This window comes from Homo sapiens, chromosome 16, assembly GCF_000001405.40.
Source record: "Homo sapiens chromosome 16, GRCh38.p14 Primary Assembly".
NCBI classification, from domain to species: domain Eukaryota; kingdom Metazoa; phylum Chordata; class Mammalia; order Primates; family Hominidae; genus Homo; species Homo sapiens.
Window position 1 is genome coordinate 83941597 of NC_000016.10, and position 24980 is coordinate 83966576.

The 24980-nt window shown below is 55.0% G+C and overlaps 2 protein-coding genes across 2 annotated transcripts in view, besides 2 other annotated features; both read left to right on the forward strand.

Annotated features, from left to right (window-relative positions):
* On the forward strand, window positions 11644–24736 carry OSGIN1 (oxidative stress induced growth inhibitor 1). Its single transcript, NM_182981.3, has 6 exons — window positions 11644–11774; window positions 16044–16142; window positions 17664–17800; window positions 18973–19164; window positions 19385–19476; window positions 23466–24736. The coding sequence occupies exons 2-6, from the start codon at window positions 16076–16078 to the stop codon at window positions 24409–24411; spliced, it is 1434 nt and encodes a 477-aa protein (NP_892026.1). The 5' UTR covers window positions 11644–11774; window positions 16044–16075; the 3' UTR covers window positions 24412–24736.
* Window positions 11919–11968: a silencer, noted in NCBI's record as "silent region_7771". NCBI's record gives its function as "represses an Ori minimal core promoter by ATAC-STARR-seq in GM12878 lymphoblastoid cells {active_cell/tissue: GM12878}" and the evidence as "EXISTENCE:reporter gene assay evidence [ECO:0000049][PMID:35858748]".
* Window positions 12457–13226: an enhancer, noted in NCBI's record as "H3K4me1 hESC enhancer chr16:83987658-83988427 (GRCh37/hg19 assembly coordinates)". NCBI's record gives its function as "activates a minimal SCP1, AML or CMV promoter by ChIP-STARR-seq in naive H9 embryonic stem cells {active_cell/tissue: H9 hESC(naive)}" and the evidence as "EXISTENCE:reporter gene assay evidence [ECO:0000049][PMID:30033119]".
* Window positions 23581–24980, forward strand: part of NECAB2 (N-terminal EF-hand calcium binding protein 2) — a 37600-nt gene continuing 36200 nt past the window's right edge. Inside the window, exon 1 of the mRNA XM_047434240.1 lies at window positions 23581–23640. The gene's annotated coding sequence lies outside the window, so the exon portion shown is untranslated. The remainder of the gene's footprint in view (window positions 23641–24980) is intronic.

A 24980-nucleotide genomic window follows, 5' to 3' on the forward strand; every position in this document is an offset into this window, starting at 1 on the left:
TCAGCCTCCCGAGTAGCTGGGATTACAGGCACACGCCACCATGCCCAGCTAATTTTGTATGTTTAGTAGAGATGGGTTTCACCATGTTGGTCAGGCTGGTCTCTCGAACTCCTGACGTCATGATCCATCTGCCTCAGCCTCCCAAAATGCTGGGATTACAGGCGTGAGCCACCGCACTCAGCTGGAATGCCTTTTTTTTTTTTTTTTTTCCAAGACTGGGTCTAACCCAGCCTGGAGTGCAGTGGTGTGATCTCCGCCTCCTGAGTTCAAACTATTCTCCTGCCTTAGCCTCCCAAGCAGTTGGGACCACAGCCACACACCACCATACTGGGCTAATTTTTTGTATTTTTAGTAGAGATGGGGTTTCACCATGTTGGCCAGGCTGGTCTCCCAACTCCTGATCTCAAGTGATCCACCTGCCTTAGCCTCTCAAGGTGCTGGGACTACAGGTGTGACCCACCGCGCCCGGCCTGGAATCACTTTTTGGCTCGTCTGGTCTGGTTTTCAGAGCAGGAGCCTCAGAACCTCCTAGCCAGGAGTGCACTTACAAAGTTCCTGGTACAAGCCCCACCCACAGCAAGGCCGCGGAGATGCAAGCTCCATTCCCGCCGCTTCTCTGGACAGTGGAAAACTAGAGACAAATCTAGAGAGGGTTGCCCAGACCAAGGTAAAGCAAAGAAGGGCCTCCAGGCAGAGCCGCGCAGTGCAGTTGCGGGGAGGCGGCCACGGGCGAGCCCACGCCCTGGAAGGACAGAGCAGAGAAACCGGGTGGGGAGGTCCTCCCAGGTCAGTCCATGCAGGGGCCTGTCAGTGCTGGGCCATCAGTCTGGGGTGGGCCTGGGGACAGCAGGAACTCCTGCCGGATGTTCAGTAGAGCAGGGCAGGGTCTAATTTGTAGTATATCAGATTCTGGAGGTATCAGAGCCTTGGTAGAAAAGGACAGGACTCTGGAATCCTGCTTTGCCTAGTGACAGGAGCCCAAAGGCCAGGAAACTCCCCAGAATGCCAGGAGGCCCGGCACTATGGCTTCTCTGTAGAGAAAGGTGCAGAGTGGACCAGGCATGGCAGCTAATGCCTATAATCCCAGCACTTTGGGAGGCCGAGGTGGGTGGATCACAAGGTCAGGAGTTCGAGACCAGCCTGGCCAACATGGTGAAACCCCGTGTCTACTAAAAATAAAAAAAAAATCAGCCGGGCGTGGCGCCTGCAATCCCAGCTACTTGGGAGGCTGAGGCAGGAGAATCACTTGAACCCGGGATGCAGAGGTTGCAGTGAGCCAAGATTGTGCCATTGTACTGCAGCCTGGGTGACAGAGCAAGACTCCATCTCAACAACAACAACAAAAAAGAAAGGTGCAGAGTGCTCGCAGGCTGGGCTGGCCCTGCGTCTGGAGAGGGGCATGGCTCACATGACTGTCAGTTATGTCACTGACCCTACCTATGCCAGAAGTCAAGGCCTAGAATGTTTGTGGAGTCTGATAAGAGCAGTACACAGGGTTTGTTTGGTTTGGTTTGTTTTGTTTTAAAGCAGCTGTGGGAAAAAGAAAAAAAGGAAAGTGATGGTCCTTCCCCCTCCAGAGGGACAACGACCTCTCTGTCGAGGGCAAGGGACTCGTGCTGGAATGGTCACACGCTTGTTAGGAAGGAATGGAAGCCTGGGCAAGGGACTGGAGTCTGCAGACCTCCTCATGCTGCAAAGTGACCTCCTGGTATGCAGGGGACCTGGGCACTCGCCCTTAGGGCCACTGTCACTGCTGGGTCACAGGAAACCGGCAGGGCCCTTGGGGGCAGGGACACGCAGGTGGGGCTCCAGTTTTCTGCAGAATGAGGGAGGCATGTGCAAGAACCCAGCCGTGGGGACTGACAGCCCTTCCAGGCAGAATTCTAGCACATGCTTATGGGTTAGGATCCTGTATGGAGAAGCTGTCACCCAGAGGGTCTACCCTGGATTCCCCAGGAGGGCCAGGCCACATGCCTGTCATTCTTGCTGTGCCTATGGACTGGTCCCAAGGAGGGTGTAGGCAGAGAGGCCCCTGGTGGAGTTTCTCATCCTAGCCTAGAGTAGCGGCTCTCAAACCCAAGCAAGCATCAGGACCACCCAGAAGGCGCGTGAAAGCGCAGATGGCCGGGCCCACACCCAGAACTTCTGATCTACTGGGTCTCGGGTGAGCCTGAGAATCTGCATTTCTGATGCGTTTCCAGGTGCTGCTGGTGCTCCTGCTGCTGCTGCTGCTCCAGGGACCCACACTTGGAGAATGACTGCCCTGGAGGGCAGTTGTTGGGAAATGCAGGCTGCATGGCAGGAAAGTGACTGGCTGCAGAGAGCTGGATGATTAACACCCACAGGGAAAGGCCCAGGATTTGGTGGACAGAGGTGGGGGGAACCCACCGTTTACGGAGGAGCTAGGACGTGTCAGGCAGCAAGCCACCTTGGGGAACAGGTATTACTATTCCTGTTATATAGATGAGGAGATTGAGGCTCAGAGAAGAGAAGCAACTTGCCCAAGAACACCCAGCTAGGAAGTTCCAGAGCTTAGACGCAACCCAGAGTTCCTGAGTGCATGGACAGGACCCTTTCCACCTAGCCGTCTTCCAGGAACAGAGCTGTTCCCACTGGAGACAGCATCTCTAATGGTGAACCACAGGGCTCTGTCTTCACCTTTGGCCAATTCAAAATTATTATCAAACACGTAAACATATTGACAGGCTCACTCCTGTAATCCCAGCACTTTGGGAGGCTGAGGCAAGCGAATCACTGGAGTCCAGGAGTTTGAGACCACCAGCGTGAAGAACATGGTGAAACCCCAACTCTACTAAAAATACAAAACTGAGCCGGGCATGGTGACACAAGCCTGTAATCCCAGCTCCTCAAGAGGCTAAGGCACAAGAATAGCTGGAACTCAGGAGGCAGAGGTTTCTGTGCACCACTGCACTCCAGCCTGGGTGACACAGCAAGACTGTCTCAAAAAAATAAAAAGTAAGTGTATGAAAGGCGTGTCAATCCATATGCATACAGTATAAAGCCAAGAGGAGCCACGCCTGCTGAAAAATGTTTTAAGAGTTGGCCAGGCGCAGTGGCTCACGCCTGTAATCCCAGCACTTTGGGAGGCCGAGGCGGGCAGATCACCTGAGGTCAGGAGTTCGAGACCAGCTGGCCAACATTGTGAAACCCCATCTGTACTAAAAATACAAAAATTAGCCAGGCATGGTGGGGCATGCCTGTAATCCCAGCTACTTGGGAGGTTGAGGCAGGAGAATCGCTTGAACCTGGGAGGCAGAGGTTGCAGTGAGCAGAGATTGCACCACTGCATTCCAGCCTGGGTGGCAGAGCGAGACTCCATCTCAAAAAACAAAAAAGAGTCTATCAGCAAAGTCTGAAAGCAACGGGATTCATTCCTTCCTTCAATTAATGTTTATGGAGCTACCGTTATGCCCTGGGCCCTGTGCTAGGCATCTGTGATACACCCAGTGAACTCAGCAAAACACAGAAGGTCCTTGTCCCACCGAATTGCCTTTCCTTAGGATTATTGTTCATTACACAAATATAATGGAAATTAGAATTTTAAAAACTCACATAAAATTCCTTGGCCCTAGCAATCAGTCTGGCTTCTTTCTTTCTCCCTGATCCCTTTCCAGCTCCTGACCAGCGGCCTACACATCGGACGCAGCATCAGCCCGGTCTCATCATCTGCTTGTCTTATTGCCGCTCTGCCGCCTGGTTCTCTAACTCCTTTTCTTAAGGCTGCATGATATTCCTCTCTGGGCATTTGCCTGTGTTTGCTGAATGGTTCTCATAGTTGGACACGGAAGTTGCTCCCAGTTTTTTCACTATTAATATTAGTATTAGTATTAATGCTGCAGTTGATGCCTCCTTGTCTATTGTAACCATTTCTCGATTGGGTGTTTTTCCCCTGGAACTTTTTCCTTTACGATTGTAATTTGGGTCCGGCGTGGTGGCTCACACCTGTAATCCCAAAACTTTGGGAGGCTGAGGTGGGTGGAGCACTTGAGGTCAGGAGTTCCAGACCAGCCTGGCCAACATGGTGAAACCTCGTCTCTACTAAAGAAAAAAAAAAAAAAAAAGACTGTAATTTGGGGCTCAGAGTATGGCCACGCTTAGGATGAAAGACATGAAACGGCCAAGGGGAAACGCCAAATTCAAAGTCCATTGAGTTCAAAGTCAGTGTTATGGGAACTGAGTCAGGGAAAGGGCTAATCCTGCACGCGGTGAATGAGCAAGGTGCCGACGGGGTTCTCTCTTCCAGGTGGCCGATTCAGAGGCCCTTTGGGCTTCCCGTGAGCCACCCCCACCCCAACCAGGGTCATCAGCAGGCCCCTGCCATCCTGCTGGCCTGGCTCCTCTGAAGATGAACTTTTCCTTTAGAACCTGTGGCTGTTCCGTCAACGGGGCAATGAATGTATTTTACAAAACAGATGGGCTGCCAGGTGGAGTGGGGGTGTGATGTATGTGGCACCTCCACAGGCCAGGCAATTTCTGGGTTGCATCTCGGCTCATCCTCCAACAGCCGCAGGGATAGAGGCTCTCAGCCCAGGCCATCGCCGGGGACAAAACTCCCCATGTCCAGCCACACCCCAGCCCAGGGATGTCAGACCCCTCTGGGCCGGGGCCTGGGTGTCAGTGTATTTTAAAATCTCCCCAGCGGATCACAATGTGCAGCGGAGACAGAGGCTCCGCCAGCAGACAAGTGCCGCTATCCCCGTCTCACACACAGAAATGGAAGCGCTGAGAGGTTCAGCCACAGGCCCGGAGTCACACAGCCGAAAATGACGGAGCCCAGTCCCAGCTTGTCTGACGCCAAAGTGGAGGGCTTTTACACAGCTGGGCCGGACCTCCTGACCACTCGAACTCTGCGGCAGGCACATTCCCTCTCCCGCCGAGATTCTCCCTTGGGTTTTAGAAAAAAGAGGGAGGAATCAGGGAACACAGGATGTGGCTGCCTGAAGACACGGGAGCCTCCGCAGCCTCACCCCTGTGCGGCCACCCTTTCCCACCCTCCTCCTATGGCTCCTCACCTTCCTCCCCGTTCCCTGGGCCCTGGCTCCCCAGCTGTGACACCATCTTCTCCAGGGGGCAATAGTGACCCTGCACCCCCACCCCCTGGAGCTGGGTGATGCTCTCTCCCCTGAGCAGGGCGCTGACAGCTCACACCCGTGCCCTCAGTGGCTTTGTCTCCAGACAGACTGAAGTCTGAATCCCTTTACCCCACTTCATTTCCTATGGCCTTGGGAAGGCTCCTCCGGCTTTCTTCGTCTGTAAACTAAAATCGGTATTGTAAATATCTGCTCACCTCTGTGTTCTGGGAGAATCGATGAAACAGTGTGGGTGAACAGGCTCTGTAAACCTTGTGGCACCAAACAAATATTAGTTGTTTCATGAGCTGGAATGGCCTGACCTCTTCATGCCACAGCTCCGGGCAGGACGGACTGACAGCCCCAGCTCTGCCATTGACCATGACTTGGGCCACACCTTACACTCAGGGCGTCCGTTTCCTCACCTGTAGTGTGGGGAAGATAATAGCACCGTGCCCTCCTCGCTGGACTGGTGTGCAGGTCTAAAGCACGGGCCCAAGAAATCCACCTACAGTGTGGGTGGCCGTGGACATGGGCGGGCCCTTCAGGACCTGCGGGCTGGGGCGTGGTGAACACGGCCGTGTTTCTGGACCTGTGCCTTTGCACCTGAGGCAAGAAGGAGGCTTCCTTCCTTGCTTTGCTGTATGTCTTTGCCTGGAGGTGCCCAACTCTGCAGCTGGGTTCGAGCCTCAGCTCTGTCACTCACACTGTGTGGCCTCAGGCTTGAGATCCGCCTCTCTGAGCGTCAGCTGTGCCTAAAGAGCCCTCTGTTCACAGTGCCCAATGCCTGCAGGTGCCCAGCAATGGCAGAGCTGTGGGAGCCACTGGCTGAGGAAGAGGGAGGCAAGAGACAGAGGCGGGAAGGGATGAGGAGGAGTCAAGAGAGGCCCCTTCGAATAGCTCTGGGATTTCTTAGGCAGAGAGTGATGGTGGTTTTCCAACAGGGGCCCAGGGATCCGTTTTGATACCAAGAACACCAGGGATGCAACCTGAGGCCACCCCTACCCGCTTTTCCCTGGCTTCTCAGCTCCCAGACAGCCTGCAGGGGGGCCGAGGGAGGCCGAGGGAGGCCTGGGGAGGGGGCCTGCCATCCAGCACCAGGGGCTGCTGTGTGGGAGCTCCTCCCCAGTGCCAGGCCCCTTCCTTCAGCCTGCATGGATCAGCTGCCACCACCCCAACACTCCACGTTGGCAGGAGCAGTACACAGATGGGGAAACCGAGGCTCAGAAGGAAAGCACCTCTACTGACCGCACTGCCTGCCTGGGCGCTTGCAGCACTGCAGGGTGACCAACTGTCTTGGCTTACCCAGGCCTGGGGGTTCCTGGGACAGAGTGAGGCTTTCAGTGAGAAACCCTGGAATGTCCCAGCTCCTGTTAGCAACAGTGCCGAAGTCCACACCAGCAGTGTCCAACAAAGACCCGACGAGAGCCACGTGTGTGTCCTCCAATGTCCCAGTAGCAAAGTTAAAATGAAAAGAGATGGGTGAAATTAATTTTAATAATATATTCTTTTTTTTTTTTTAAGATGGAGTCTCGCTCTGTCGCCCAGGCTGAAGTGCAGTGACTCAGTCTTAGCTCACTGCAACCTCCGCTTCCCGGGTTCAAGCAATTCTCCTCCCTCAGACTCCTGAGTAGCTGGGATTACAGGTGACCGCCACCATGCCCTGCCAATTTTTATATTTTTAGTAGAGACGGAGTTTCACCATATTGGCCAGGCCGGTCTCAAACTCCTGACCTCAGGTGATCTGCCCGCCTCAGCCTTCCACGGTGCTGGGATTACAGGCGTGAGCTACCATACCCGGCCTAATTTTAATAATATGTTCTATCTATCCCAGTATGTCAGATATTTTCCTTATTTTCATTGCAACATGTAATCCATATTAAAATTATGAATGAGATATTTTACCTTTTTGGTACTAATTCTTTGAATTCTGGCATGTATTTTACATTTACAACTGCAGTTGACAAAATACAGGCTGCCAGGGAAATTTGAATTTCAGATAAACAAGAAATAAACTTTTAGTGTAAGTATGTCCTGTGCAATATTGAAGATACACTAAAAGTTTGTTTCTTATTTATCTGAAATTCAAATTTCCCTGGAACCTCTGTTGTCTTTTGCTGCCTCTAGAAACCCTCTTGTGAGCACGCCTGAATTTGGAGGATCACGTCACAAGCTCTCAATAGCCACTTGAACTCATGGCCTTAAAGAGCACAAGGCAGGTCCAGGGGAACCAGGGCACCCACTGGCACCCAAGACAGCCAGCCCCCTCAAGTCAGCCTGCAAAGACCCATTTGGCTCCTCCCCTCTCTGCAGCCCCTCTAACCATCGCCCTTTTGCCTGCCCTTAACAGTATCGGCCTTTGTCTTAGTCAAGCTTTCGAGGAGCAACTCAGCAATTCTGTTACCGATAATCACCTAACAGGTAAACAAGATGGCAGGGAGGAAAGTCCACGTCTCGCCCCACAGTTCCCCATATCAGCAAATCTTCAAATTCTAGAACAAGGTCAGGGTCAGCAGGGGCAGGGCAGGTTTGGAGGAAGGCCAGGCCAAGCCCAGGAGAAGAGACAGGGTCCAGGGAAGCCCACCTCCTTCCTGGGTCTCCCCTCCAGACCCCCAAGACCCCCAGCCTCAGGCCTTCTCAAGCCCCAGCCTTAAGGAGTTGAGCACTCCAGGGTGGGGGGTCTCTGATCCTGGGTGCCTGTCTCTCTCTGCCTCAGTTTACACATTCAAAACCACTGGGAAGCCACAGACCAGGCACCGTGGGATGGGGAAGTGGAGACCGAGAGGCTGCTGCCGGGGAAATATGCAGTGCAGACAAGAGGTACGTCGGCGGCAGCTGCATCCCTCCCTGCCCTCATGTTCAAAAGCCCTGTCTAGGTCCTGGTGTGTTGGAGCTGCACATTCAGAGCGTCAGAGTGTTGGTCACAAGGCCACAGCTGGAACAGAAGCCCAGAGAGGGAGGCTTCCCCCCCCAGGTCACACAGCACACCTGAGGTGGGGCTAGACACTGGCCAGGAGCTGAGGCTCAGAGCAAGGGGCTTCCTGCTGCCCCTCCACCATGTGGGGCACTGCTCCTGAGGGCCCCGGGAGGAAAGGAATACGAGGGCCCATTTCCCCTGGGTAAAACTGAGACTGAGGGGCCATGCCTCGTCAAAGCCTACCCAGCCTGCCAGGGCTGAACCCACAGACAGCTCCCACCTACCCAGCCTCATGCAGGGTGCAGCCCCAGGCTGGACGCATCACGTGATTTTGGGGGCCTAGTACTAAATGGAAATTCAGGATATTCATGTCAAAATTAACAATTTTAAGGCAGTGGCAGCAGAGCATTAAACCAAACTCCGGGCTCTTCTGATCACAGGGCCCTGAGCACAGGTCACCCAGGGAAGCAGAGGAGGGGAAGGAGAGACGCAGCTCAGTCCCGGCTCCCTCCCCAGCCCTCCAGGCTCTCTGTGCACATGGCCCCAGCTGTGCCTAACCTCTTCCCTAAGCCTTTTTCACCCCAGCTTCTCATTGTGCTCCCTAAACCCTTACCCCCAGCTATCAGGCCCTCCCTTACTGCCAGCACTGGCAGATACGCACACACAGACATGCGCATACATACCAGCACACACGTACACACACATGCACACGTGAGCACATGTGCACACATGCACATACATACTGGCACACACGTACACACACATGCACACATGAGCACATGTGCACACATGCACATACACACTGGCACACACGTACACACACATGCACACATGAGCACATGTGCACACATGCACATACATACTGGCACACACGTACACACACATGCACACATGAGCACATGTGCACACATGCACATACACACTGGCACACACGTACACACACATGCACACATGAGCACATGTGCACACATGCACATACATACCGGCACACGTACACACACGCACACATGAGCACATGTGCACACATGCACACACATGCACACATGAGCACATGTGCACACATGCACATACATACTAGCACACACGTACACACACATGCACACGTGAGCACATGTGCACACATGCACATACATACTGGCACACGTACACACACATGCACACATGAGCACATGTGCACACATGCACATACATACTGGCACACGTACACACATGCACACATGAGCACATGTGCACACATGCACATACATACTGGCACACACGTACACACACATGCACACGTGAGCACATGTGCACACATGCACATACATACTGGCACACGTACACACACATGCACACGTGAGCACATGTGCACACATGCACATACATACTGGCACACACGTACACACACATGCACACGTGAGCACATGTGCACACATGCACATACATACTGGCACACGTACACACACATGCACACATGAGCACATGTGCACACATACACATGCACACACATCCTCATTCCCTCTCTCTCTCTCTCGCCCTCTGTAGGTTCCTGCTACTCTCACCTCATCAGAGTTGTTTTCTACCAGGAACCAGCCCCAGCCCCAGCCCCAGCCCCTGCTGGCAGATGCTCCGGTACCCTGGGCTGTGGCTTCCAGGATGTGCCTGACTCCAGGGCAGGGCTGTGGCCACCAGGGCCAGGACGAGGGTGAGGAGGGGGAGGCATCACCTCAGGCACAAAATTTTAGGGGCAGCAAAGCACTCCCATCACCAGAATACATACTGTGTCCATGCAGTGTTCTTACACATCAAAATTCATGAAAAAAAATCCAGAATGGAAAAAATATCAAACTTTTATTATAAACACAGACGGCATCGGAAGTCCTGGTTCTCCTCTTCCCATCAGCCCCAAGGCACTGCTCTGGAACCTGTCTGGGTTTATCCTGGCTTTTTTGCATTCATTTAGATTTTTTTTAATTGCCTCAAAATATTATTTTGTTTACTGGTTTTGGTTCCCTCTTAAAGTTTGCACTCAAAGGTGCACCCCCATCCCCCGCCCCTCGAGGGTGGCAGACAGGAGGACGAGGGCGGGCGACAACAACATCAACACTGAAAACAACAGCGAATGGACACTGAGGTCATGTGTGCACCGCGGCAGCTCCCTCCCTCCCTCCCTGCCTTCCACCCTCCTTCCCTCCCTCCCTCCTTCCCTTCCTGCCTTCCTCCCTCCTTCCATCCCTCCTTCCCTCCCTCCCTGCCTTCCTCCCTCTTTCCCTTCCTCCCTCTTTCCCTCCCTCTTCCCTTCCTCCTTCCTCCTTCTCTCCCTGCTTTCCTCCCTCCTTCCCTCCCTACTTCCCTCCCTCCCTGCCTTCCTCCCTCCTTCCCCCCCTGCTTCCCTCCCTACCTCCTTCCTTCCCTCCCTCCTTCCCTCCCTGCTTTCCTCCCTCCTTCCCTCCCTACTTCCCTCCCTCCCTGCCTTCCTCCCTCCTTCCCCCCCTGCTTCCCTCCCTCCCTGCCTCCCTTCTGTTTAACCGATGTTGAGTGCCTATGTGTCCTAAGCGCTGTTCTAGACACTGTGTAGAGCAGTCACGAATATACTTCCCTGCCCACACAGAGCTCACATTCTGGTTTGGGAAGAGAGACAATAAAATAATTCAGAAATAGGCCAGGTGTGGCATCTCACGCCTGTAATCCCAGCACTTTGGAAGGCTGAGGCGGGCGGATCATCTGAGGTCGGGAGTTCGAGACCAGCCTTGCCAACATGGTGAAACCCTATCTCTACCAAAAATACAAAATTAGCCGGGCGTGGTGGCACATGCCTGTAATCTCAGCTACTCAGGAGGCTGAGGCAGGGGAATCACTTGAGCCCGGGAGGCGTAGGTTGCAGTGAACCGAGATCGCGCCATTGCACCCCAGCCTGGGAAACAAGAGCGAAACTCCTTCTCAAAATAATAATAATTAAGAAACAGCAAGGTGTGGGGTGTGCAGTGCTACCCACATAAAACAGGAGAGAAGAGCCTGGGAGCAGGCTTCAAGTTCTAAGCATGGCAGACAAGAAGGATGTCATGTAAACCCTCACGGCCACTCTGGTAGAGACAATCTGTGACTTGGCCCCAGTTTTCAGATGAGGAAACTGAGGTGCGGGCCCTAAGGCAGCTTGCCAGAGCCCTGCAGCTGGGAAATGGCAAAGCTGGATTCGCAGCCCAGGCAGGCTGGTGCCAGAGGGCTTTTGGGGATTGGAGGGTGCAGTGAAATCCAGGTGGAATGCGGGAACTGGACGGGGTTTCGCCACTTAAAGGTACTGTTATTTTAACTGTGTGCGGGACAAAGCCATCTCCTCTTCGCTTATGGCAAAGGCCAGGCTGGCTCATTCAGAGGTCACTGGTTCCTCCTCCAGAGACTGAGCCCCAGGGATGGGGGTCTGGCTAGGGGGAGGTGGCTGGGAGGGAGCGCCACCCTAGGCCCCCTGGCAGGCCGCCCAGCAGGGGCCCTTTAAGGCTGGCCATGAGGCAGGCAGCGTGACACCCGCCCAGTGTGCAAGTTCATTCATCACGGGCCCCTGCTGACTCACGCTTATGAAAGTGATTTTCCTGGCCCCGCCCACTGCCTGCGCCGCCTCCTCCCTCCCCGTGAAATACCCTCACTTCCCTCTGGCCTCTCAGAGCCTCTTGGATCCCCACAGGGTAATGGGTGTCCCGATCTCGCGGGGGACTCTGTGATCCGTGTTCCCCTGACCCTCCTAGTGCACAACTTGGCCGGGCTCACTGGGCTCCTGCACCACTGCCTGTCAGGTGAGTGTCCGGGGCCAGGTTCCGGGGCAGGGAATCAGGCACATCCCAGGCACCCGTGGCAAGCCCAGCTGGACCGGAGGGTCTGCAGAGCCCTGGCGCCAGGCGGGGGTCCCGGGTGGTCCTGAGTGGAGGCCCTCGCCTGGGTTCTCTGGAGCCCGGCAGGATTCTCCCCTACACCAGGTTCCTCCCAGATCCTCAGCTGTGTCCCTGTCCAGGTGCCTGGTACCCTCAGCCAAGCAGCTGAAGCGGCCACAGTCCCAGCGTACCCTGGGCCATGTGACCGCCGCTCCTAGCAGGAAAGAGGGGTGTGGCCAGCCCGGGCTTACTGCCCAGCTGTTCCAAGGCCACTGGGTCGGCAGCCAGGCTGGGTGCCTTCTGGGTTTCTGCTTCTCCTGCTCAGGAGGGACAGAGCCCTTGGGTGCCCATGAACAGCCCCCATCCCTGGAGGTCCCAGCGACTTAGCTTCTCTCAGGAGGCTCAAGAGTGCGGCGGGTTGGGAGGGCGGCCCCTGGGAGGCTGGGGAGCTGCAGGAGACCCTGGGCTCCAGGTGTGCGGCACTGGGGCGAGGGCTCGTCTGTGATAAATGGCAAGTGCCGCTTGCGTGGACAGACCACCCCCTCACACTTTAGCGCCCCCAGGGCTTCGTGTCACTTTCTTGGTCTCCCTGTAATCAGCTGTTTTACTGGAGGGGACTTGGCAGAACTAAGATTTGTCACATGGCCGTGGTCTTGGACCCTCCTAGGTGACCTGGGGCAAGACGCCCACTCCTCCTGACCAGCTTTTCTTCCTCTGCACAATGGGGATAAGAACACCCACCTCCTGGGGTGTCTTCAAAGGCAAAGGAGTAAATGGCCACTAGAGGTGCCAAAGAAACGCAGACATACAGGTGTCCCAGAGTCTCAGAGCAGTTTGCAGCTTTAACAACCTCAGAAGTACAAATGCCGCACACTTGAAAGAAACGTCAGTCGAAGGTGCAACTGTTTTCATTTCTTTTATCCTGTTTGCCTTTGTGAAATTTGAAACATCAATTTTTAATGTTAACTTCTTTCCATCAACATCTGCCATCTTCAATTAAAGGGACTTAAAAAGATAACATTAAAAATTGATTCTTCCAACTCCGTAAAACTAAAAAGCACAAAAGGAATTGAAATGAAACTTTTGAACTCTCTTTTGTAAGTTGGCAGCATATTTGTCCGAGGTTATGAGTGACAGCGTCAAGCTGCTTCGGACTTTGGGGCGTCCTGTGTCACTCTGAACGGGAAGTGACTTCTCAGGTCCAGCCCCTGGGTGGTGACCTCATGTATGTGGCATCCAGAAGCTTCTGTTCAAGAGCCTGAGGACAGTCCCAGGAGGGAGCCCTGGACTTGGAGCCCCAAAGCCCTGGTGGTAAACCAGTGTCCTCTGCTGCCTGCAAAGGGTGGGAAGGGGCAGCCAGTTCTGATTCCTCATTGGCCAGCAGGGGCTCCTGCAAATGCCCTTCTTGGGGTGGTGGGAAAATCTGAAAGAACAAAGGAGGGGCAGGGCATGGCCCAGGGTGGGCGCACTGGGGCAGATGGAGCAGGTTGGCTCACTCGTTTGGTGAAGGGGCTGGGGTGCCTGGGGGTGTCAGCCCACGGGGATCAAATATCAGTTCCATCGCCCACCGGCTCTGTAGCCTCAGGGCACGGCTTCACCTCTCCTAGCCTTAGTCTCCTCATCTGCAAAGTGGGTTGCTAGGAGGATCAAAGGAGGTGATGCGGGGAAGCCCTTTACCAGGAGGTCCCATGCTCCCCAGTGGCTGCTGTTCCCGGGGACCATGATGAGGACTGAGGGGCCCAGAGCCATTCGAGGGTATCAGGAGCAAGCCAGAGAAAGCACTCTGAGACCCGTAGTCCTGTTCTCCAAGGCCTCTGGGTATACTCAGCACCCAGAGTCAATGAGAAATGATCCCTTCCCAGCCAGAACACCAGGTCCTCAGCTGTCCCTCTGCCTCCCCGCCTGCCACTAGCGCTGCGACAGAGAAGTGGGGGACCCTGGAACGGACACTGCACGTTCCACCCGGCAGAGGGGTCTCAGCAGGACCTCTCACAGCACTTGGGGCACAGAGAAGGCTCTGGAGCAGGGCGGCCTGGGCTCTGATCCAGCCCAGCCTGCAAGAGCTGGTTCAACCACCTTGCAAACTATAAAGGGCGGTGAGAAACGCTCTGGCCCTCAGAGTACTTACAACAACCCGATTAAATAAGGATTCAATTTGTTAACGTGTATTAAGTGTTGAGATCATGCCTGGCACCCAGCCCACTCCACAGAAGTATGGAAATGTCAGCCACATGCTGTCTTTGTTGTTCTTGTAACTACTACTACTATTATAATTGGTGGCAGCGTCCCCCTGAAATCTCCCCCTCAAGGCAGGCAGCCTGGGGTCTTGTAGGGAGCTGAGCATGAAGAGGCCATGTGGTCCCTGGTGACTGCAGCGTGTCACCTTCCTTCTCTCTGGAAAGGGAGGAGGAGGTCTTCGGTGCTGGGCACACGAGCTTGCCTAGACAGGACACGGAGGCTGTCCCTGGCCCCCACGCCAGTGGAGGCAAGAAAGGCTATGCTCAAGGGAGCAGAGAGCACCGACACAGGGGTCCCTGACAGACCCCTTCCCCGCTAGGCACATCCTCACCCTCGGAGCCTCCTTCTCCTCACCTGCAAGACAGAGGTGACAGGGCTCACCTCTCAAGGCTGCTGAGCGGGCTGGACGCTACTGCTTAGATGCAACCTCCTTGCAAACTGTAGAGTGCTCTGAGAAGGTCAGTTGTTGTCACTGTGGGGGCGACACATAGGTCCTCTCAGTGGCCCATCTGTGTGGCAGTTTCTCATCCCTCTCCTCGGGACCTGCCTGGAGGTGGACGAAGGTGTTTCTGTCACCCTGCACACATCAGAGGCCACACACTGGTCTCAGCTGTGTTTGGTTGGCCTTTTAAGCATCTTCCAAAACTCTGCGTTCATTCATTGCCCACTTCTTCAACTCAGATCATTCACATAGAAATCCAGATTCCCACTTTCTCTGGAAGAATTCTGGAGGCAGGTGGCCCTGGGCCCCCACCCCTGGCCACTCTGGGTGGTCCAAGCCCTGTGCCCGCCCACTTGAGTGTGACACCTGGATGGGCCCTGGATCTCGAGGGACAGGCCGAGTGGTGTGGGTGGTGGCACTGGCAGGGTCTTGGCACCAGTGAGCCCTGGGTTTCAAAGCCAGCTGTGTGACACTGAGAAGTTTGTGCGACCTCTCTGAGCCCCGTTTACACATCTGTGAAATGGGACATTAATATGGCCAGGGCTGCACAGGGTCAGCGTGAGGCGGATATGAGAAAAAGCATGTCAAATACCCGGTACACAGTAAGTGCCAAATGCTCATCATCCCTGTGCCCACAAGGGTGTTGCCTTGTGGTCCTCAGGATGGCAGCATGTGGCCCTCGGGTGAGGCTGGTGTCCGCTGCTAGCTGGTGTGGGGAAGAAGGTAGGTCTGATGCTCCTCTGGGAACCGGCAGCTCTAGGACCAGCACTTGGGTCCCTTTGAGCGATTTGGGCCTGCGGCCAGCAGAGGGCGCGGCTGCCCCAGAGATGGCAGGTTCACCAGCACGTCCCCAAACCTGGCCACTGCTTCCATTTCCCCAAGTCCATCCCAGCTCCTGGGGCAGGCCACAGCGCTGGCCCATTCCCTGTGGCAGATTCACTCCAGGCAGGTGCTTCCCGTCTGTGATCCTACTGTGTCCCTCAACCACCCTAGGAGGTAGGGACTCATTGCTTCCATTTTACAGATGAGGAAACTGAGACCCAGAGAGGCCCGGGAATGGGATAGGAAGCAACGTGCCAGGGCTGGATGACGAGTCCACCAGGCCACACTGGGACTCGAGGACTGTGGCCCACAGAAGGGTCTGGCAGGGCTGGTTCCTGGGTTGGGCAGGAATGGCCTCTCGGGAAGACAGATAATGAGTTTCGGGGACTGTTACTGCCCCAGTGAGATGGGAGAGTAGAGTGAGGCTCGGAGGGACAGTGGCTGCCTGGGGCAACCAGGCCCGAGGAGGGGAGGGCACATTCTGCATGACTGGGGAGGGGTGGGGCAAACAGCCTGTTTGGAGCAGAGGCTGTGTGAGAGCAAGAAGGGAGTCCCGTCAGATATGTCTCATGGGGACCCCGGACCAGACCCTGAGGGCCACAGGAGGCCACCCTAGCTGGGAGGTGAAGTGGCTGTGTGGACACCCAGGCCTCACCCGAATGGACTCTTCCTTCCCCTCTCCCCCACTCCAGGTCCGCTGCCAGCCCCAAGCCCCCCACCAGCCATGAGCTCCTCCAGAAAGGACCACCTCGGCGCCAGCAGCTCAGAGCCCCTCCCGGTCATCATTGTGGGTGAGTGTCAGGCCCCAGCCAGGGAGGGGCTCCGCTGAGCCTTCCGGGTACCCCCCAGGTCTGAGGGCAGGAGCTGGGCAAGTCCAGGCCTGGTGTCTTTTTTCGTTTTTGGGGTTTATTTTTTATTTATTTATTTATTTATTTATTTATTTATTTGAGACAAAGTCTCACTCTGTCGCCCAGGCTGGAGTGCAGTAGTGCAATCTTGGTTCACTGCAACCTCTCCCTCCCGGGCTCAAGCGATTCTCCTGCTTCAGCCTACCAAGTAGCTGGGATTACAGGTGCATGCCACCATGCCCAGCTAACTTTTGTATTTTTAGTAGAGATGGGGTTTCGCCATGTCGGCCAGGCTGGTCTCGAACTCCTGACCTCAAGTGATCTGCCTGCCTCAGCCTCCCAAAGTGCTGGGATTATAGGTGTGAACCACCATGCCTGGCCCAGGCCTGGCCTCTTTACAGTGGTCTTTAAATTAAGCCATTGAGCGTTTACTATGTGGCCAGTGCTAGGCTTAGCAGTTTATAAGCTATCATTCCCTTTCACACTTCCGAGAACCCAGGGGTCTAGAACACACCCATCAGCTGGAGGCGACCCGGCGTGGCGCAGGGAGGCCTGGTCCTGAGCCCACACTGATCCCATGACTACCCTGTGCCCAGCACTGTGCTAGGTGCCCACATGAGAGGACACACAGTAGCGGCTTATGATTCCTGTCCTCTGTCTGCACAAATGGGGACAGATGACCCCCCAGTATGCAGGCGTCCGATTAAGCCACGTGAGATGGTCATTTCTGTAAGGCAAAAGCAGATGGGTGCCTGTGATTTCATATGGTTCTTCCTGGTATCCTGCATATGAGTAATATTCCGAATCAGACGAGATAAGAAGAGGGGAAAGGACAGATAAAAAGAGAAGCGCTATCACAGGGCTGTGCCTGGTGAATCGCCCAGGAAGCGCCACAGATGGCAGCGCAGTTCTTCAGACGTGCAAGCAGCAGACCCAACAGGCGGCTCAGCACCCCTGAGCGCCCACAAGCACCCACCACTCAAGTTCGCCCCCAGGCCACGTAGCAATCTGTGCTACATTCACTCATCCATCTGACCTAGTTCTTAGCAATCTCAGAATCTCAGTCGCGTCGTCAGATATTCCCTCTGTCTGGGTTTTAATCCCGGCTCGTCTACCTTCCGGCCGTGTGACCACAGGCAAGTAACTTAACCTCTCTGTGCCCATTTCCTCAAGTATAAAAGGAGGAAAAGAGTGGCACTTACCTCGCTAAAGCTGTTGTGAGGCTGTTGTGAAAGCTCTCAGTACAATTCCTGGCACAGAGTAAGCTCTCAGCAGTTGTTCATTCCTTCTTTTTAAAAGTATTATTAGGCACAGTGTCTGGCACAGGCTAAGGGCTTAATAAATATTTATTTTTATGAATGAAGGATAAATGAATGAATGCGCCGCATCTAGATCAAAGCCCTCCACAGTAGTGTCCCCCACCTGAAAAGGCCACCCCCTTTAACCTCCACCCTCTCTCCCCAGGTAACGGCCCCTCTGGTATCTGCCTGTCCTACCTGCTCTCCGGCTACACACCCTACACGAAGCCAGATGCCATCCACCCACACCCCCTGCTGCAGAGGAAGCTCACCGAGGCCCCGGGGGTCTCCATCCTGGACCAGGTGGGTCAGCCTGGGGCCAGAGCTCTGGGTAGTACATACCCGCCCTTGGAAAACTACCGCCGCTTTCCCAGGGAAAAACAAAAGTGTGTGTTTGCTGGAAACAAGACTAAACAAAGAATTCGAGAGTCCACAAAGTCAGCCACGGAGATCGTGAAAGAGAAATCAGAGACCCACAAATGCCACACGATCTAGGGCTCACTATGCCCTAGGCCGGTTGTTCTCAAGGAGGGGATGATTTTTCTCCTCGGGGGGCACCTGGCAATGTCTGGAGACAATTTGGGTTGTCATGGCAGGGTGACGGTACTACCAAATCTAGCAGGGTGGAGGCCAGGGATGCTGGCAAACATCCAGCACTGCACAGGACAACGAGGGTGGTGAGACTGAAATATGTGTGGTGGAGCTTCTCAACCTTGGCCCCACTGACATTTGGATGACTTTGTTCTGGCTACAAAGAATGATCTGGCTCAAATGTCAGTGCGGCCAAGGTTGAGAAACTCCACCACAGATATTTCAGTCCCACTACCTCCTGCCCACAAGGGTTTGCAAATCCTCCCTCCGTACCCCTTGTCTTCCACTGTGCTCCTCCACGACCTCCCCTTGTCGACCTCCCTCGTCAGGCAGTGTACATCCTCCTGTTCCCTTCCCGCCCCTGAGTTGGAGATGAGGAAATAGGTCTTGACCATTTGATCTAGATCAGCATTTTTCAAAGTGCTCTCTATAGAATACTAGTTCCTCAGTATAATATAGAGAGAAAAATGTCCCCACTCCAGTAAAACAGGGACACACTGGGTTTGGCAAAATTAAACAGGTAAATGATGGCTGCAGGACTTGTCAGAGCCTTTAATATGCCCGTCTGTGTTATCTGCTGTTAAGAGGCAGCACCTCCCAAGCTGATCTGACCACACTGATATTAGGGTAGGGATGTAGGACCAGGCAATCGCTCCAGTCTCACCCAAGCTTGCGCATTTGGTCTGTACTCTGGGGCCCTTGGCCTCCTAGAAAGACCTCAAAACGAGAGCTTCAAACTACCCCCAGGGTGCGCATCTCTCTGAGACCCTCCAGTGCCAGGGAAATGGCCCGGCCCCAGTCCCCACGTTCCTGCCCAGCCTCAGGCTCTGGGAAGACGACCCCGCCCTCCTCCAGCAGCCCCTCTGACCTATGCCCCCCTCCAGGACCTGGACTACCTGTCCGAAGGCCTCGAAGGCCGATCCCAAAGCCCCGTGGCCCTGCTCTTTGATGCCCTTCTACGCCCAGACACAGACTTTGGGGGAAACATGAAGTCGGTCCTCACCTGGAAGCACCGGAAGGAGCACGCCATCCCCCACGTGGTTCTGGGCCGGAACCTCCCCGGGGGAGCCTGGCACGTGAGTGGGGCAGCGAGGGCATGGCTTGTGGGGGGCTCTCTCCCTCGTTCTCCCCACTTGGGGCTGGGACTCTGGCATCTCCCTTTCCTCATTCTCCACCCCGCAACCCTGCCTCTCCCTCCTCCCTCTACCCAGCCCCAGCAAAGGCCTCCCATGCCCTCTAGCCCCAAATGGGTTCAGGCGAGCAGAGGCCTGGACCAAAGGGTTCCTTTCCCTGCAGTCCATCGAAGGCTCCATGGTGATCCTGAGCCAAGGCCAGTGGATGGGGCTCCCGGACCTGGAGGTCAAGGACTGGATGCAGAAGAAGCGAAGGTGAGGCCGCCCCGGAACGCCTTGGGGGACACGGAAGGTTGGGCCTGTGAACCCAGAAAATCTGAGACAGGTCTCAGTTAATTTAGAAAGTTTATTTTTCCAAGGTTGAGGACGCGCCCGTGACAGCCTCAGGAAGTCCTAATGACATGTGCCCAAGGTGATCCGGCACAGCTTGGTTTTATACATTTTAGGGAGACATGAGACATCAATCAATATTTGTAAGAAGTACATTGGTTCGGTCTGGAAAGCTGGGCCAGCTTGAAGCAAAGGCAGGAAGTGGGGAGGGGGCTTCCAGGTCGCAGGTAGGTGAGAGATAAACAGTTGCATTCTTTTGAGGTTCTGATGAGCCTCTCCAAATGAGGCGATCAGATACGCATCTATCTCAGGGAGCAGAGGGGTGACTTGGAATGGAATGGGAGGCAGGGTGGCCCTCAGCAGTTCTCAGCTTGACTTTTCCCTTTAGCTTAGTGATTTGGGGGATTTCACAGGCCCCCCACAGTGAGCCCGTGAGCCAGAGGTACAGGGGCTTCAGAGTGCATCTGGTCTGTCTTCCTCTTCTTCCAGAGGGGGAAACTGAGGCTCAGATAGGGAAAGGACTTGTCCACCCCACATGAGTGGGGGTGAGCAGCAGAGCTGGGCTCACCCGAGGACCCCCTGTCCCGTGCAAGCAGCAGACCGCCCTGTCACATGGCCCCCAACTGGGCCTCCCCATAGTGCCCCAGCCTCTAAGGAGGGGGTAACACCTGGCCCCTGAGCCCCACGCCCTGCCCCGTGCCTCTGGCACAGGTCCCCCAGTCCTTGTGGTCTCCCTTCAGCCCTTTCCTCTATTCTGAGCCTGGCCTAGAACAATCTTTCTGGGTCAGCTAATAGGGTGACTTTCTTTTTTCTTTTCTTTTTTTTTTTTTTAATGCTTTTGCTACAGGTGAGTTTCATCCTTAACCATGAGCCCCCAAGTTGGGTAAATTAACTCACCTAAGGTCATGCAGGTTATTGGAAATGCAGAAGGAAAACAGCTCACCCCAAACCCACACTTCTCCACGCCCTTTCACTCCTGGGGTATTTTTTCCCCATCTGGCTTCCTGCCCCATCATGGCCACCCTAGAGAAAAGGTTTGTGAACCCTGAATATTTGAGATGGGTCTCAGTTAATTTAGGAAGTTTTGTTTGTTTATTTGTTGTTTGTTTTTAATGAAGTCTCCCTCTGTCGCCCAGGCTGGAGTGCAGTGGCGCGATCTCAGCTCACTGCAAGCTCCGCCTCCCAGGTTCAAGCCATTCTCCTGCCCCAGCCTCCCGAGTAGCTGGGACTACAGGTGCCCACCACCACACCCGGCTAATTATTTTTTGTATTTTTAGTAGAGACGGGGTTTCACCGTGTTAGCCAGGATGGTCTCGATCTCCTGATCTCGTGATCCGCCCACCTCGGCCTCCCAAAGTGCTGGGATTACAGGCGTGAGCCACCACGCCAGGCTAATTTAGGAAGTTTAATTGCCAAGGTTGAAGACGCACAACCATGACACAGCCTCAGGAGGTCCTGATAACATGTACACATGGTGGTCGGGGCACAGCCTGGCTGTATACGTTAGGGAGACTTGAGACATCAATCACTATATGTAAGATGGACATTGGTTCCGTCCAGAGGCGGGACAACTCCAGCAGGGAGGGGTGTTTCCAGGTCTCAGACAGGTGAGAGACAAACGGTTGCATTCTTTCGAGTTTCTTATAAGCCTTTCCAAAGGAGGCAATCAGGTGTGCATTTATCTCAGTGGGCAGAGGGAAGACTTTGAGTAGGACGGGAGGCAGCTTTGCCCTAGGCAGTTCCCTGCTTGACTTTTCCTTTAACTTAGTGATTTGGGGGCCCCAAGATTGATTTGCCTCTCACAGTTTCAATCACTGAATAAAGGAGTTCTAGTCCCTGCTCCTCCTGGGGTGCATCCACTCAATGAGAAGCTGCCCCAGCGCAGATACCTGGGTGCAGTCTGCCTCTCGGGAAGCCCTGCTTCCTCCGCCCCCAGGGCTGTGACCAGGCCTGTGTCCCCAACGGCAGGCACTCCAGGCGTCCCCCTCCAGGCCTCACTATCTCTTTGATGCGAAGACTCTTCTGCATGTTTGGCAGGAAGACTTCCAGGTTTGTGTAGCTACATGTTAGTAGGCAGCCAGAAACTTACATTTCGCTTGTAAGCACAGCCTTTTATAGGCTCATTTTGCATTTTCACATTGTATCCCAAGCGTTTCATGTGGTGAAGTCACAGCGTTCAAAACCATCCTTTTACATGGCCTCACAATATTCCCAAAGGCGAGTGAGCATCCCCAGTCCAGCAAATCTTCACCGAATGCTTATTATGTGCCAGGCCTTGGGCTTAGACGTCAGAGCACAAAACCACCGCAGACACACCCCCTGCCTCATGGCACTGCCAAGGTTACCCAGCCCCTGCCAGCCCTGGAGCATTCATTCTTTCCATTGTGTCATTATTATAAATAACTCTGCACAGAACATGCTCTTGGGACCGTTCTGTGTCACAATCTTTACAAAAACTGAGAAAAGAATGACTGCCCACAGAGATAAATTCCAGGGTCGCAGACGGGCTGCGCTGGGTTGACTGGCACGGCCTTGGGGGTCCATTGTCAGCTCCTGCTACATGTAGCCGGACGGCAGGTGGCACAGGATTCTCCCGTATGGGAGTTCATCTTGAACCATGAGCCCACAAGCTGGGTAGATTAACTCATCTAAGGTCACACAGTGAGATACAGGAAGGTGCTAGAATGATGCAAAGCCTGTCATTCAACCGCCACAAGAATGGGCCTGCAGTCACTGCCCCTGGAAAGAGTGACAATCCAAACAACAACAACAATAATAGAATACCTCCTGCTGCTGCGTGGGCTGGGAACGATGGTGAGTGCGTCACATGGGAGTCTTTAAATCAACTTTAAATCAACTTTTTGACTACATATAGGCTGGGTGCGGTGGCGCAAGCCTGTAATCCCAGCACTTTGGGAGGCCGAGGCTGGTGGATCACTTGAGGTCAAGAGTTCGAAACCATCCTGGCCAACATGGCAAAACCCCATCTCTAATAAAAATACAAAAATTAGCCAGGTATGGCGCTGCATGCCTGTAGTTCCAGCTGCTCAGGAGGCCGAGGTATGAGAATCACCTGAGCCCGGGAGGCAGGGGCTGCAGCGAGCTGAGATCACACCACGGCACTCCAGCCTGGGCAGCAGAGTGAGACTCTGTCTCAAAAAATTAAAATAAAATAAAATAAAATAAAATAAAATAATAAATTGGCTACATATAGAAAAGTACGTAACTCCTGTGAGTACAGGTTGATGAAATTTCTCAAGGTAAGCACAGAGAATGAAGAAGCAGGCCCCCTCCCAGAAGCCCCCATGCCCTTTCTGATCAGGATCCCATTCCCCATCCCCGGAGGTAACCCCTCTCTTGACATCCAGCTCCATAGATGAGTTCTGCCTGTTTCTGAACTCTGTAAAAATGGAATCATACCATATTTAATCATTTGAGGTGACAATCATGGTGGCCTATCCTTACATGGCACTTACTTCCAGTCAGGTTCCATCCTAAGCACTTTGTGTTTGTCAGCTCACCAAATCCTCCCCACGACCTCACGAAATAGGTCCTGCCACCAACATCTTCCTCATTTTGCAAACTGGGGAAACAGACACAGCTCCCTGATGGCAGAGTCAGGATTCGAGCCCAGGCAGCGGGGCTCTGGAGGCTGCCCTCTGAACCCCACCCTACACCACCCTAGAGCATCCTACACCACCCTACACCACCTCTCCTGAGGGAGGCACCCTTGTTAGCTCCATTTTACAGAAGAGGAGACTGAGGCTTAGAGAGGTTGAATTACCTGGCCTAGTCCTACAGCTACAGCCTAGTCCAGCTCCAGGGCCTGACACTGCCCTGGACATCTCCCGTCCCACCCAGCCCCCCAACCCCTAACAGTGTCTGACTCTGGCGTCCTGCATCCTCCCCAACAGAGGTCTTCGCAACAGCCGGGCCACTGCCGGGGACATCGCCCACTACTACAGGGACTACGTGGTCAAGAAGGGTCTGGGGCATAACTTTGTGTCCGGTGCTGTAGTCACAGCCGTGGAGTGGGGGACCCCCGATCCCAGCAGCTGTGGGGCCCAGGACTCCAGCCCCCTCTTCCAGGTGAGCGGCTTCCTGACCAGGAACCAGGCCCAGCAGCCCTTCTCGCTGTGGGCCCGCAACGTGGTCCTCGCCACAGGCACGTTCGACAGCCCGGCCCGGCTGGGCATCCCCGGGGAGGCCCTGCCCTTCATCCACCATGAGCTGTCTGCCCTGGAGGCCGCCACAAGGGTGGGTGCGGTGACCCCGGCCTCAGACCCTGTCCTCATCATTGGCGCGGGGCTGTCAGCGGCCGACGCGGTCCTCTACGCCCGCCACTACAACATCCCGGTGATCCATGCCTTCCGCCGGGCCGTGGACGACCCTGGCCTGGTGTTCAACCAGCTGCCCAAGATGCTGTACCCCGAGTACCACAAGGTGCACCAGATGATGCGGGAGCAGTCCATCCTGTCGCCCAGCCCCTATGAGGGTTACCGCAGCCTCCCCAGGCACCAGCTGCTGTGCTTCAAGGAAGACTGCCAGGCCGTGTTCCAGGACCTCGAGGGTGTCGAGAAGGTGTTTGGGGTCTCCCTGGTGCTGGTCCTCATCGGCTCCCACCCCGACCTCTCCTTCCTGCCTGGGGCAGGGGCTGACTTTGCAGTGGATCCTGACCAGCCGCTGAGCGCCAAGAGGAACCCCATTGACGTGGACCCCTTCACCTACCAGAGCACCCGCCAGGAGGGCCTGTACGCCATGGGGCCGCTGGCCGGGGACAACTTCGTGAGGTTTGTGCAGGGGGGCGCCTTGGCTGTGGCCAGCTCCCTGCTAAGGAAGGAGACCAGGAAGCCACCCTAACACTCGGCCAGACCCGCTGGCTCCCAGGCCCTGAGAGGACAGAGATGACCACATCCCTGCTGGATGCAGGACCCGTCCAAAGATGCCCCGGGGAGGGGTGTCAGCCCACGTTGCTGGCCTTTGGGGTCAAGAGGAGTAGGGATCCCAGGCTGCCCTGGACTTAGACCAGTGTCTGAGGTGGTAACAGCGGCCGCAGGCCAGGGTTGGCCTAGACCTGGGATTTGTGGGGAAAGCTGCTGGTGTGACCAGCTGAGCACCCAGCCAGGAGACCTGCAGCCCTGCGCCTTCCAGAAGCAGGTCCCAAATAAAGCCAGTGCCCACCTGCTCTCATGCGTCTGAGGACTCTGTGCTCGGAGGGAGCTGCGTTCCCGGAACCCTGCACTGGGCTGGGGGGAAGGGAGGAAAGGGGATTGTGGGAGGAGTCCTGGGGCATGTGGTCCTGGATGAGGTCCATGGCTGGGGCCTTGGGGTACAAAGGATGGTGCCCCAAGTGTGGGGGCAGTTGAGCGGGCAGCTGTACTAGAGTCTGGGGGTGGGAGTGGCGGGTGTGTGCAGGCAGTGATGTCCAG